Source organism: Homo sapiens, chromosome 2 (genome assembly GCF_000001405.40).
Source record: "Homo sapiens chromosome 2, GRCh38.p14 Primary Assembly".
Lineage (NCBI taxonomy): Eukaryota > Metazoa > Chordata > Mammalia > Primates > Hominidae > Homo > Homo sapiens.
The window spans coordinates 132,230,649-132,245,846 of NC_000002.12; the positions used below are offsets into that span (position 1 = coordinate 132,230,649).

Consider the following 15,198-nt stretch of genomic DNA (forward strand, 5'->3'; position numbering starts at 1 on the left):
CATAAAAACTAGACAGAAGCATTCTCACAAACTTCTTTGTGATTTGTGCATTAAACTCACAGATTTGAACCTTGCTTTTGATAGAGCAGATTTGAAACACTCTTTTTTTAGAATCTGCACGTGGACATTTGGAGCACTTTGAGGCCTATGGTGGAAAAGGAAATATCTTCACACAAAAACTACACAGAAGCATTCTCAGAAACTTCTTCGTGATGTGTGCATTCACCTCAGAGAGTTGAACATTTCTTTTGATAGAGCAGTTTTGAAACACTCTTTTTGTAAAATCTGCAAGTGGATAGATGGAATGCTTTGCAGCCTTCATTGGAAACGGGAATATCTTCACATAATCACTAGACAGAAGATTTCTCAGAAACTTTTTTGTGCTGTGGCATTCAAGTAAGGGAGTTGAACCTTTATTTTGAAAGAGCAGGTTTGAAACACTTTTTGTGGAGTCTGCAAGTGAACATTTGGAGAGATTTGAGGCCTATGGTGGAAAAGGAAATATCTTCACATAAAAACTACATAGAAGCATTCTCAGAAACTTCTTTGTGATGGTTGTATTCAACTCACAGAGTTGAACTTTCTTTGATAGAGCAGTTTTGAACCTGTCTTTTTGAAGAAATGCAAATGGATATTTGGACCGCTTTGAGGCCTTCATTGAAAACGGGAATGTCGAAGGGGGAGGAGCCAAGATGGCCGAATAGGAACAGCTCTGGTCTACAGCTCCCAGCGTGAGCGACGCAGAAGACAGGTGATTTCTGCCTTTCCATCTGAGGTGCCAGGTTCATCTCACTAGGGAGTGCTAGACAGTGGGCGCAGGTCAGTGGGTGCACGCACCGTGCACGAGCTGAAGCAGGGCGATGCATTGCCTCACTTGGGAAGCACAAGGGGTCAGGGAGTTCCCTTTCCGAGTCAAAGAAAGGGGTGACAGATGCACCTGGAAAATCGGGTCACTCCCACCCGAATATAGCGCTTTTCGGACCGGCTTAAAAAACGGCACACCACGAGATTATATCCCGCACCTGGCTCGGAGGGTCCTACACCCACGGAGTCTCGCTGATTGCTAGCACAGCAGTCTGAGATCAAACTGCAAGGTGGCAGCGAGGCTGGGGGAGGGGCACCCGCCATTACCCAGGCTTGCTTAGGTAAACAAAGCAGCCAGGAAGCTCGAACTGGGTGGAGCCCACCACAGCTCAAGGAGGCCTGCCTGCCTCTGTAGGCTCCACCTCTGGGGGAAGGGCACAGACAAACAAAAAGCAGTAACCTCTGCAGACTTAAATGTCCCTGTCTGACAGCTTTGAAGAGAGCAGTGGTTCTCCCAGCATGCAGCTGGAGATCTGAGAACTGGCAGACTGCCTCATCAAGTGGGTCCCTGACCCCTGACCCCCGAGCAGCCTAACTGGGAGGCACTCCCCAGCAGGGGCACACTGACACCTCACACGGCAGGGTATTCCAACAGACCTGCAGCTAAGGGTCCTGTCTGTTAGAAGGAAAACTAACAAACAGAAAGGACATCCACAACAAAAACCCATCTGTACATCACCATCATCAAAGACCAACAGTAGACAAAATCACAAAGATGGGGAAAAAACAGAACAGAAAAACTGGAAACTCTAAAATGCAGAACACGTCTCCTCCTCCAAAGGAACGCAGTTCCTCACCAGCAACGGAACAAAGCTGGATGGAGAATGACTTTGACGAGCTGAGAGAAGAAGGCTTCAGACGATCAAATTACTCTGAGCTATGGGAGGACATTCAAGCCAAAGGCAAAGAAGTTGAAAACTTTGAAAAAAATTTAGAAGCACGTATAACTAGAATAACCAATAGAGAGAAGTGCTTAAAGGAGCTGATGGAGCTGAAAACCAAGGCTCGAGAACTACGTGAAGAATGCAGAAGCCTCAGGAGCTGATGCAATCAACTGGAAAAAAGGGTATCAGCAATGGAAGATGAAATGAATGAAATGAAGCGAGAAGGGAAGTTTAGAGAAAAAAGAATAAAAAGAAATGAGCAAAGCCTCCAAGAAATATGGGACTATGTGAAAAGACCAAATCTACTTCTGATTGGTGTACCTGAAAGTGATGGGGAGAAGGGACCCAAGTTGGAAAACACTCTGCAGGATATTACCCAGGAGAACTTCCCCAATCTAGCAAGGCAGGCCAACATTCAGATTCAGGAAATACAGAGAATGCCACAAAGATACTCCTCGAGAAGAGCAACTCCAAGACACATAATTGTCAGATTCATCAAAGTTGAAATGAAGGAAAAAATGTTAAGGGCAGCCAGAGAGAAAGGTCGGGTTACCCTCAAAAGGAAGCCCACCAGACTAACAGCGGATCTCTTGGCAGAAACCCTACAAGCCAGAAGAGAGTGGGGGCCGATATTCAACATTCTTAAAGAAAAGAATTTTCAACCCAGAATTTCATATCCAGCCAAACAAAGCTTCATAAGTGAAGGAGAAATAAAATACTTTACAGACAAGCAAATGCTGAGAGATTTTGTCACCACCAGGCCTGCCCTAAAAGAGCTCCTGAAGGAAGCACTAAACATGGAAAGGAACAACCAGTACCAGCCACTGCAAAATCATGCCAAAATGTAAAGACCATCGAGACTAGGAAGAAACTGCATCAACTAATGAGCAAAATAACCAGCTAACATCATAATGACAGGATCAAATTCACACATAACAATATTAACTTTAAATGTAAATGGACTAAATGCTCCAATTAAAAGACACAGACTGGCAAATTGGATAAAGAGTCAAGACCCATCAGTGTGCTGTATTCAGGAAACCCATCTCATGTGCAGAGACACACATAGGCTCAAAATAAAAGGATGGAGGAAGATCTACCAAGCAAATGGAAAACAAAAAAAGGCAGGGGTTGCAATCCTAGTCTCTGATAAAACAGACTTTAAACCAACAAAGATCCAAAGAGACAAAGAAGGCCATTACATAATGGTAAAGGGATCAATTCAACAAGAAGAGCTAACTATCCTAAATCTATATGCACCCAATACAGGAGCACCCAGATTCATAAAGCAAGTCCTGAGTGACCTACAAAGAGACTTAGACTCCCACACATTAATAATGGGAGACTTTAACACCCCACTGTCAACATTAGACAGATCAACGAGACAGAAAGTCAACAAGGATACCCAGGAATTGAACTCAGCTCTGCACCAAGTGGACCTAATAGACATCTACAGAACTCTCCACCCCAAATCAACAGAATATACATTTTTTTCAACACCACACCACACCTATTCCAAAATTGACCACACAGTTGGAAGTAAAGCTCTCCTCAGCAAATGTAAAAGAACAGAAATTATAACCAACTATCTCTCAGACCACAGTGCAATCAAACTAGAACTCAGGATTAAGAATCTCACTCAAAACCACTCAACTACATGGAAACTGAACAACCTGCTCCTGAATGACTACTGGATATTTAACGCTATGAAGGCAGAAATAAAGATGTTCTTTGAAACCAACATGAACAAAGACACAACATACCAGAATCTCTGGGACACATTCAAAGCAGGGTGTAGAGGGAAATTTATAGCACTAAATGCCCACAAGAGAAAGAAGAAAAGATAAAAAATTGACACCCTAACATCACAATTAAAATAACTAGAAAAGCAAGAGCAAACACATTCAAAAGCTAGCAGAAGGCAAGAAATAACTAAAATCAGAGCAGAACTGAAGGAAATAGAGACACAAAAAACCCTTCAAAAAATTAATGAATCCAGGAGCTGGTTTTTTGAAAGGATCAACAAAATTGATAGACAGCTAGCAAGACTAATAAAGAAAAAAAGAGAGAAGAATCAAATAGACACAATAAAAAATGATAAAGGGGATATCACCACCGATCTCACAGAAATACAAACTACCATCAGAGAATACTACAAACACCTCTATGCAAATAAACTAGAAAATCCAGAAGAAATGGATAAATCCCTTGACACATACACTCTCCCAAGACTAAAACAGGAAGGAGTTGAATCTCGGAATAGACCAATAACAGGCTCTGAAATTGTGGCAATAATCAATAGCTTACCAACAAAAAGAGTCCAGGACCAGATGGATTCACAGCCGAATTCTACCAGAGGTACAAGGAGGAACTGGTACCATTCCTTCTGAAACTATTCCAATCAATTGAAAAAGAGGGAATCCTCCCTAACTCATTTTATGAGGCCAGCATCATTCTGATACCAAAGCCAGGCAGAGACACAACCAAAAAAGAGAATTTTAGACCAATATCCTTAATGAACATTGATGCAAAAATCCTCAATAAAATACTGGCAAAACGAATCCAGCAGAACATCAAAAAGCTTATCCACCATGATCAAGTGGGCTTCATCCCTGGGATGCAAGGCTGGTTCAATATACGCAAATCAATAAATGTAATCCAGCATATAAACAGAGCCAAAGACAAAAAACCACATGATTATCTCAATAGATGCAGAAAAAGCCTTTGACAAAATTCAACAACACTTCATGCTAAAATCTCTCAATAAATTAGGTATTGATGGGACATATTTCAAAATAATAAGAGCTATCTATGACAAACCCACAGCCAATATCATACTGAATGGGCAAAAACTGGAAGCATTTCCTTTGAAAACTGGCACAAGACAGGGATGCCCTCTCTCACCACTCCTATTCAACATAGGGTTGGAAGTTCTGACCAGGGCAACTAGGCAGGAGAAGGAAATAAAGAGTATTCAATTATGAAAAGAGGAAGTCAAATTGTCCCTGTTTGCAGATGACATGATTGTATATCTAGAAAACCCCATTGTCTCAGCCCAAAATCTCCTTCAGCTGATAAGCAATTTCAGCAAAGTCTCAGGATACAAAATCAATGTACAAAAATCACAAGCATTCTTATACACCAACAACAGACAAACAGAGAGCCAAATCATGAGTGAATTCCCATTCACAATTGCTTCAAAGAGAATAAAATACCTAGGAATCCAACTTACAAGGGATGTGAAGGAACTCTTCAAGGAGAACTACAAACCACTGCCCAAGGAAATAAAAGAGGATACAAACGAATGGAAGAACATTCCATGCTCATGGGTAGGAAGAATCAATATCATGAAAATGGCCATACTGCCCAAGGTAATTTACAGATTCAATGCCTTCCCCATCAAGCTACCAATGCCTTTCTTCACACAATTGGAAAAATCTACTTTAAAGTTCATATGGAACCAAAAAAGAGCCCGCATCACCAAGTCAATCCTAAGCCAAAAGAACAAAGCTGGAGGCATCACACTACCTGACTTCAAACTATACTGCAAAGCTACAGTAACCAAAACAGCATGGTACTGGTACCAAAACAGAGATATAGATCAATGGAACAGAACAGAGCCCTCAGAAATAATGCCACATATCCACAACTATCTGATCTTTGACAAACCTGAGAAAAACAAGCAATGGGGAAAGGATTCCCTATTTAATAAATGGTGCTGGGAAAACTGGCTAGCCATATGTAGAAAGCTGAAACTGGATCCCTTCCTTACACCTTACACAAAAATCAATTCAAGATGGATTAAAGACTTAAACGTTCAACCTAAAACCATAAAAACCCTAGAAGAAAACATAGGCATTACCATTCAGGACATAGGCATGGGCAAGGACTTCATGTCTAAAACACCAAAAACAATGGCAACAAAAGACAAAATTGACAAATGGGATCTAATGGGAGAACATTTTTGCAACCTACTCATCTGACAAAGGGCTAATATCCAGAATCTACAATGAACTCAAACAAATTTACAAGAAAAAAACAAACAACCCCATCAAAAAGTGGGCAAAGGACATGAACACATACTTCTCAAAAGAAGACATTTATGCAGCCAAAAAACACATGAAAAAATGCTCATCATCACTGGCCATCAGAGAAATGCAAATCAAAACCACAATGAGATACCATCTCACACCAGTTAGAATGGCAATCATTAAAAAGAGAGGAAACAACACATGCTGGAGACGATGTGGAGAAATAGGAACCCTTTTACACTGTTGGTGGGACTGTAAACTAGTTCAACCATTAGGGAAGTCAGTGTGGTGATCCCTCAGGGATCTAGGACTAGAAATACCATTTGACCCAGCCATCCCATTACTGGGTATATACCCAAAGGACTATAAATCATGCTGCTATAAAGACACATGCACACGTATGTTTATTGTGGCACTATTCACAATAGCAAAGACTTGGAACCAACCCAAATGTCCAACAATGATAGACTGGATTAAGAAAATGTGGCACATATACACCATGGAATACTATGCAGCCATAAAAAATGATGAGTTCATGTCCTTTGTAGGGACATGGATGAAATTGGAAATCATCATTCTCAGTAAACTATCGCAAGAACAAAAAACCAAACACTGCATATTCTCACTCATAGGTGGGAATTGAGCAATGAGATCACATGGACACAGGAAGGGGAACATCATACTCTGGGGAATGTTGTGAGGTGGGGGGAGGGGTGAGGGATACCATTGGGAGATATACCTAATGCTAGAAGACGAGTTAGTGGGTGCAGCCAACCAGCATGGCGCAAGTATACATATGTAACTAACCTGCACAATGTGCACATGAACCCTAAAACTTAAAGAATAATAATAATAATAAAAAGTAGACAGAAGCATTCTCACAAACTACTTTGTGATGGGTGTACTCAACTCACAGTTAAAACTTTCCTTTGATACAGCAGTTTTGAAACACTCTTCTTGTTGAATTTACAAGTGGATATTAGGGCAGCATTGAGGATTTCGTTGGAAACGGGAATATCTTCACATAAAACTAGACAGAAGCATTCTCAGAAACTTATTTGTGATGTGTGCATTCAGCTCACAGAGTTGAAATTTTCTTTTGATAGAGCAGATTGGAAACACTCTTTTTGTAGAATTTGCAAGTGGATATTCGGACAGCTTTGAGGCCTTCGCTGGAAACGGGTATGTCTTCACATAAAAACTAGACAGGAGCATTCTCAGAAACTGCTTTGTGATGCTTGCAATCAACTCACAGAGTTGAACATTCCTTTTCATAGAGCAGTTTTGAAACACTCTTTTTGTAGAATCTGTAAGTGGAAACTTGGAGCGCTTTGAAAGCCTATGGTGAAACAGGAAATATCTTTCCATAAAAACTAGACAGAAGAATTCTCAGAAACTTCCTCATGATGTGTGTACTTAACTCACAGAGTTGAACTTTTCTTTTGATAGAGAATTTTTGAAACACTCTTTTTGCAGAGTCTGCAAGAAGATATTTGGATAGCTTTAAGGCTTTGTTTGGAAAAGGAAATATCTTCACATAAAAACCAGACAGAAGCATTCTCAGAAACCTCTTTGTGCTGCTTGCATTCAAATCACAGATTCGAACATTCCGTTTCATAGAACAGTTTTGAAACACTTTTTTTGTAGAATCTGCAAGTGGACATTTAGTGCGATTTGAGACCTATGTTGAAAAAGGAAATATCTTCACATAAAAAGAAGACAGAAGAATTCTCAGAAACTTCTTTGCGATGTGCGTACTCAACTCACAGAGTTAAACCTATCGTTTGATACAGCAGTTATGAAAGACTCTTCTTATAGAATTTACAAGTGGATATTAGGACAGCATTTGGATTTCTTTGGAAACAGGAATGTCTTCACATAAAATTGACAGAAGGATTCTCAGAAACTTCTTTGTGACGTGTGCATTCAACTCACAGAGTTGAAATTTTCTTTTGATCGTAGAATTTGCAAGTGGATATTTGGACAGCTTTGATGCCTTCTCTGGGAACGGGTATATATTCACATAAAAACAAGACAGAAGCATTCTCAGAAACTTCTTTGTGATGCTTACGTTCAACTGACAGACTTGAACATTCGTTTTCATGGAGCTGTTATGAAACACTCTTTTTGTAGAATCTGTAAGTGGAAACTTGGTGCTCTTTGAAGCCTATGGTGAAAAAGGAAATCTCTTCCCATAAAAACTAGACAGAAGCATTCTCAGAAACATCTTTCTGATGTGTGTACTCAACTCACAGATTTGAACCTTTCTTTTGATAGAGCAGTTTTGAAACACTCATTTTTTAAAAATCTGCAAGTGGATATGTGGATAGCTTTGAAGATTTCATTGGAAACGGGAATATTTTCATATAAAAACTAGACAGAAGCATTCTCAGAAATTTCTTTGTGATGTTTGCATTCATCTCGCAGTTGAACATTCCCCTTCATTGAGCATTTTTGAAACACTCTTTTTGTAGATTCTGGAAGTGGACATTTGGAGTGCCTTGAGGCCTAAGGTGAAAAAGGAAATATCTTCACATAAACACTACACAGAAGCATTCTCAGAAACTTCTTTGTGAGACTTGCATTCAACTCACACTGTTGAACATGGATTTTCATAGAGCAGTTTTGAAACACTCCTTTTGTAGTATCTGGAAGTGGACATTTGGAGCGCTTTAGCGCCTGTGGTAAAAAAGGAAATATAGTCACATAAAAACTAGAGAGAAGCATTCTCAGAAACTACTTTGTGATGTGTGTACTCAACTCATAGGGTTGAACTTTTCTTTTGATACAGCAATTTTGAAACACTCTTTGTAGAATTTGCAAGTGGATATTTGGATAGCTTTGAGGATTTCGTTGGAAACGGGAATATCTTCACAAAAAACTAGACTGAAGCATACTCAGAAACTTCTTTGTGATGCTTGAATTCAACTCACAGGGTTCAACATTCCTTTTCATAGAGCAGTTTTGAAACACTCTTTTTGTAGGATCTGTAAGTGGAATCTTGAATCGCTTTGAGGTCTAGGTAGAAAAGGAAATATCTTCCCATGAAAAGTACACAGAAGAATTCTCAGAAACTTCTCTGTGATGTGTGTACTCAACTCACAGAGTTGAGCTATTCTTTTGATAGAGCAGTTTTGATACACCCTTTTTGTTAAAATCTGCAAGTGGATATGTGGATAGCTTTGAGAATTTCGTTAGAAACGGGATTATCTTCACATAAAAACTAGACAGAAGGATTCTCAGAAACATCTTTGTGATGTTTGCATTCTTCTCACAGAGTTGAACATTCCCTTTCAGTGAGCAGTTTTGAAACACTCTTTTTGTAGTTTCACTAAGTGGACATTTGGAGCGCTTTGAGGCCTAGGGTGAAAAAGGAAATATCTTCACATAAAAACTATACAGAAGCATTCTCAGAAACTTCTTTGTGATATGTGTACTCAACTCACAGAGTTGAACCTTTCTTTTGATATAGCAATTTTGAAACACTCTTTTTGTAGAATCTGCAAGTGGACATTTGGATAGCTTTGAGGATTTCGTTGGAAACGGGAATATCTTCACATAAAACTAGACAGAAGCATTCTCAGAAACTTCTTGTGATGTTTGCATTCAACTCACAGAGTTGAACATTCCTTTTCATAGAGCAGTTATGAAACACTCTTTTAGTAGAATCTACAAGTGGACATTTTGTGCGATATGAGACCTATGGTGAAAAAGGTAATATCTTCACATAAAAACTAGATAGAAGCATTCTCAGAAACTACTTTTTGATGTGTGTACTCAAATCACAGAGTTACACCTTTCCTTATATAGAGCAGATTTGAAACACTCTTCTTGTAGAATTTACAAGAGGATATTTGGACAGCATTGAGGATTTCGTTGAAAAGGGGAATATCTTCGCATAAAACTAGACAGAAGCATTCCCAGAAACTTCTTGTGATGTTTGCATTCAACTCACAAAGTGGAACGTTACTTTTCATAGAGCAGTTTTGAAACACTCTTTTTGTAGAATCTATAAGGGGAAAGTTGGAACGCTTTGAGGCCCATGGTGAAACAGGAAATATCTTCCCATAAAAACTAGACAGAAGAATTCTCAGAAACTTCCTTTTGATGGGTGTACTCAACTCACAGAATTGAACTTTTCTTTTGATAGAGCAGAGTTGAAACATTCTTTTTGTCAAAATCGGCAAGTGGATATAGGGATACCTTTGAGAATTTCATTGGAAACTGGATTATCTTCACATAAAAACTAGACAGAAGCATTCTCAGAAACTTCTTTGTGATGTTTGCATTAATCTCACAGAGTTGAACATTACCTTTCAGTTAGCAGATTTGAAACCCTCTTTTTGTAGTTTCTGGAAGTGGACATTTGGAGCGCTTTGAGGCCTATCATGAAAAAAGAAACACCTTCTCATAAAAATTAGACAGAAGCATTCTCAGAAACTTCTTTATGATGTGTTTACTCAACTGTCAGAATTGAACCTTTCTTTTGATACAGCACTTTTGAAACACTCTTTTTGTAGAATCTGCAAGTGGATATTTGGATAGCTTTGAGGCTTTCTTTGGAAATGGGAATATCTTCACATAAAAACTAGACAGAAGCATTCTCAGAAACTTCTTTGTGATGCTTTCATTCAACTCACGGAGCTGAACATTCCTTTTCATAGAGCAGTTTTGTAACACTCTTTTTGTATATCTGCAAGTGGAAACTTGGTGAACTTAGAAGTCTATGGTGAAAAAAGAAATATCTTCCCATAAAAACTAGACAGAAGAATTCTCAGAAACTTCTTTGTGATGTGTGTACTCAACTCACAGATTTGAACTTTTCTTTTGATAGAGCAGTTTTGAGACACTCTTTTTGTACAATCTGCAAGTGGATATTTGGGTAGCTTTGAGGATTTTGTTGGAAACGGGTATATCTTCACATAAAAACTAGAAAGAAGCATTATCAGAAACTTCTTTGTGATGTTTCTATTCAACTCACAGAGTTGAACCTTCCCTTTCATAGAGCAGTTTTGAAGCACTCTTTTTGTATTATCTGGAAGTGGACATTTGGAGCACTTTGAGGCCTGTGGTAAAAAGAATTATCTTCACATAATAACTAGTTAGAAGCATTCTCAGAAACACCTTTGTGGTATGTGTACTGAACTCACCCAGTTGAAGCTTTCTTTTGATACAGCAGTTTTGAATCACTCTTTTTGTAGAATCTGCAAGTGGATATTTTGATAGCTTTGTGGTTTTGTTGGAAACGGGAATAGCTTCACACAAAAACTTCACAGAAGCATTCTGAGAAACTTCTTTCTGATGTGTGTACTCAACTCACAGAGTTGAATTTTTCTTTTGATACGCAAGTTTTGAAACACTCTTTTTGTAGAATCTGCAAGTGGATATTTGGATAGCTTTGAGGCTTTCGTTGGAAACGGGAATATCTTCACATAAAAACTAGACAAAAGCATTCTCAGAAACTTCTTTGTGATGATTGCATTCAACTCACAGAGTTGAACATTCCTTTTCATAGAACAGTTTTTAAACACACTTTTTGTAGAATCTGCAAGTGGCCATTTGGTGTGATTTGAGACCTATGGTGAAAAAGGAAATATCTTCACGTAAAAAGTAGACAGAAGCATTCTCAGAAACTACTTTGTGATGTGTGTACTCAATTCACAGAGTTAAACATTTTTCTTAGATACAGCAGTTTTTAACCACTCTTCTTGTAGAATTTACAAGTGGATGTTAGGACAGCATTGAGGATTTCGTTGGAAACGGGAATACCTTCAGATAAAAACCAGACTGAAGCATTCTCAGAAACTACTTTGTGAGGTTTGCATTCAACTCTCAGATTTGAAAATTCCCTTTCATGGAGAAGTTTTCAAACACTCTTTTTTTAGAATCTGCAAGTGGATATTTGGATAGCTTTGAGGATATCGTTGGAAACGGGAATATCTTCAAATAAAATCTAGACAGAAGCATTCTCAGAAACATCTCTATGATGTTTGCATTCAAGTCACAGAGTTGAACATTCCCTTTCATAGAGCAGGGTTGAAACACTGATTTTGTAATATCTGGAACTAGACATTTGGAGCGCTTTGTGGCCTATGGTGAAAAAGGAAATATCTTTCCATTAAAAACTAGACAGAAGAATTCTCAGAAATATCTTCATGATGTGTGTACTCAACTCACCGAGTTGAAGCTTTCTTTTGATACAGCAGTTTTGAAACACTCTTTTTGTAGAATCTGCAAGTGGATATTTGGATAGGTTTCTGGTTTTGTTGGAAACGGGAATAGCTTCACATAAAAGCTACACAGAAGCATTCTGAGAAACTTCTTTTTGATGTGTGTACTCAACTCACAGACGTGAACCTTTCTTTTGATACACAACTTTTGAAACACTCTTTTTGTAGAATCTGCAAGTGGCCATTTTGTGCGATTTGAGACCTGTGGTGAAAAAGGAAATATCTTCACAAAAAAAGTAGACAGAAGCATTCTCAGAAACTACTTTGTGATGTGTGTACTCAACTCGCAGAGTTAAATCTTTCCTTTGGTACAGCAGTTTTGAAACACTCTTCTTGTAGTATTTACAAGTGGATATTAGGACAGCTTTGAGGATTTCGTTGGAAACGGGAATATCTTCACATAAAACTAGACAGAGGCATTCTCAGAAACTTATTTCTGGTGTGTGCATTCAAATCACAGTCTTGAAACTTTCTTTTGATAAAGCAGATTGGAAAAACTCTTTTGTTGTATCTGTAAGTGGACATTTGGAACGATTTGAGATCCTTGGTGGAAAAGGAATTATCCTCACATAACAAATAGGCAGAAAAATTCTTAGAAATTTCTTTGTGATGTGTGTACTCAACTCACAGAGTTAAACCTTTCCTTTGATACAGCAGTTTTGAAAAATTCTTCATGTAGAATCTGCAAGTGGACATTTGGAGTGATATGAGACCTATGGTTGAAAAGTAAATATCTTCACATAAAAAGTAGACAGAAGAATTCTTACAAATTACATTGTGATGTGTGTACTCAAGTGACAGAGTTAAACCTTTCCTTTGATACAGCAGTTTTGAAACACTCTTCTAGTGGAATTTACAAGTGGATATTAACACAGCACTGAGGATTTCATTGGAAACAGGAATATCGTCTCATACAACTAGACAGAAGCATTCTCAGAAACTTCTTTGTGATGTGTGCATTCAGCTCACAGAGCTGAAACATTCTTTTGATGAAGCAGACTGGAAACACTCTTTTTGTAGAATGTGCAAGTGGATATTTTGACTGCTTTGACGTTTTTACTGGAAACGGGTTGATCTTCACATAAAAACAAGACAGAAGCATTCTCAGAAACTTCTATGTGATGCTTGCATTCAACTCACAGAGTTGAACATTCCTTTACATTGAGCAGTTTTGAAACACTCTTTTTGTAGGATCTGTAAGTTGAAACTTGGAGCGCTTTGAGGCCTATGATGAAAAAGGAGATATCTTCCCATAAAAGCTAGACACAAGAATTCTAAGAAACTTCTTTGTGATGTGCATACTCAACTCACAGAGTTGAACTTTTCTTTTGATAGAGCAGTTTTGAGAAACTCTTTTTGTAGAATCTCCAAGTCAACATTTGGTGCGATTTGAGACCTATGGTGAAAAAGGAAATATCTTCACCTAAAAAGTAGACAGAAGCATTCTCAGAAACTAATTTGTGATTTGTGTACTCAACTCACGGATTTAAACCTTTCCTTTGTTGGAGCACTTTTGAAACACACTTCTTGTAGAATTTACATGTCGATATTTAGACAGCATTGATGTTTTCGTTGGAAAAGGGAATATCTTCACATAAAACTAGACAGAAGCATTCTCAGGAACTTCTTTGTGATGTGTGCATTCAACTCACAGAGTTGAAATTTTCCTTTGATAGAGCAGATTGGAAAGACTCTTTTTGTCGAATTTCCAAGTGGATATTTGGACAGCTTTAAGGACTTCACTGGAAACGGATATATCTTCACATAAAAACTAGACAGAAGCATTCTCAGAAACTTCTTTGTGATGCTTGCATTCAACTCACAGAGTTGAACATTCCTTTTCATAGAGCAGTTTTGAAAAACAGTTTTTGTAGAATCTGTAAATGGAAACTTTGAGTGCTTTGAGGCCTATGGTGAAAAAGGAAATATCTTCCCATAATAACTAGACAGAAGAATTCTCAGACACTTCGTTGTGATGTGTGCACTCAAATCACAGAATTGAACTTCTCTTTTGATAGAGAAGTTTTTAAACACTCTTTTTGTAGGATCCGCAAGTGGATATTTGGATAGCTTTGAGGATTTTGTTGCAGACGTGAATACCTTCACATAAAAACTAGACAGAAGCATTCTCAGAAACTTCTTTGTGATGTTTGCATTCATCTCACAGAGTTGAACTTTCCCTTTCCTAGAGCAGTTTTGGAAAACTCTTTTTGTAGTATCTGCAAGTGGACATTTGGAGCGCTTTGAGGCCTATGGTGAAAAAGGAAATATCTTCCCATAAAAACTACACAGAAGCATTCTCAGAAACTTCTTTGTGATGTGTGAACTCAACTCACAGAGCTAAAACTTTCTTTTGATACAGCAGTTTTTAAACACTGTTCTTGTAGAATTTACAACTGGATATTAGGGCAGCATTGAGGATTTCATGGGAAACGGGAATATCTTCACATAAAACTAGACAGAAGCATTCTCAGAAGCTGCTTTTTGATGTGTGTTTTCAACTCAAAGAGTTGAATCTTTCTTTCGATAGAGCAGATTGGAAACAGTCTTTTTGTACAATTTGCAAGCGGATGTTTGGATAACTTTGAGGCCTTTGCTGTAAACGGGAATATCTTCACATAAAAACTAGACAGAAGCATTCTCAGAAACTTCTTTGTGATGTTTGCATTCATCTCCTAGAGTTGAACATTAGCTTTTATACAGCAGATTGGAAACACTCTTTTTGGAGTATTTGGAATTGGACATTTGGAGCGCTTTGAGGCCTATGGAGAAAAAAGGAAATATCTTCACAGAAAAACTAGACAGAAGCATTCTCAGAAACTGCTTTGTGATGCTTGCAATCAACTCACAGAGTTGAACATTCCTTTTCATAGAGCAGTTTTGAAACACTCTTTTTGTTGAATCTGTAAGTTGAAACTTGAAACACTTTGAGGCGTATGGTGAAAAAGGAGGTATCTTCCCATGAAAACTAGACACAAGAATTCTAAGAAACTGATTTCTGATGTGTGTACTCAACTCACAGAGTTGAACTTTTCTTTTAATAGAGCAGTTTTGAAACACTCTTTTTTTGTAGAATCTGCAAGTGGATATTTGGATAGCTTTGAAGATTTCGTTGGAAAGGGGAATATCTTCACATAAAAACTAGACAGAAGCATTCTCAGAAACTTCTTTGTGATGTTTGCATTCATC

The 15,198-nt window shown here is 38.2% G+C and overlaps 1 protein-coding gene across 2 annotated transcripts in view, besides 1 other annotated feature; it reads right to left on the bottom strand.

The window, feature by feature from the left end:
* ANKRD30BL (ankyrin repeat domain 30B like) overlaps positions 1 to 15,198 on the bottom strand; it is a 110,443-nt gene that overhangs the window by 83,058 nt on the left and 12,187 nt on the right. The window lies entirely within an intron of this gene.
* Positions 10,604 to 11,511: an enhancer, noted in NCBI's record as "OCT4-NANOG-H3K27ac hESC enhancer chr2:132998825-132999732 (GRCh37/hg19 assembly coordinates)". NCBI's record gives its function as "activates a minimal SCP1, AML or CMV promoter by ChIP-STARR-seq in primed H9 embryonic stem cells {active_cell/tissue: H9 hESC(primed)}" and the evidence as "EXISTENCE:reporter gene assay evidence [ECO:0000049][PMID:30033119]".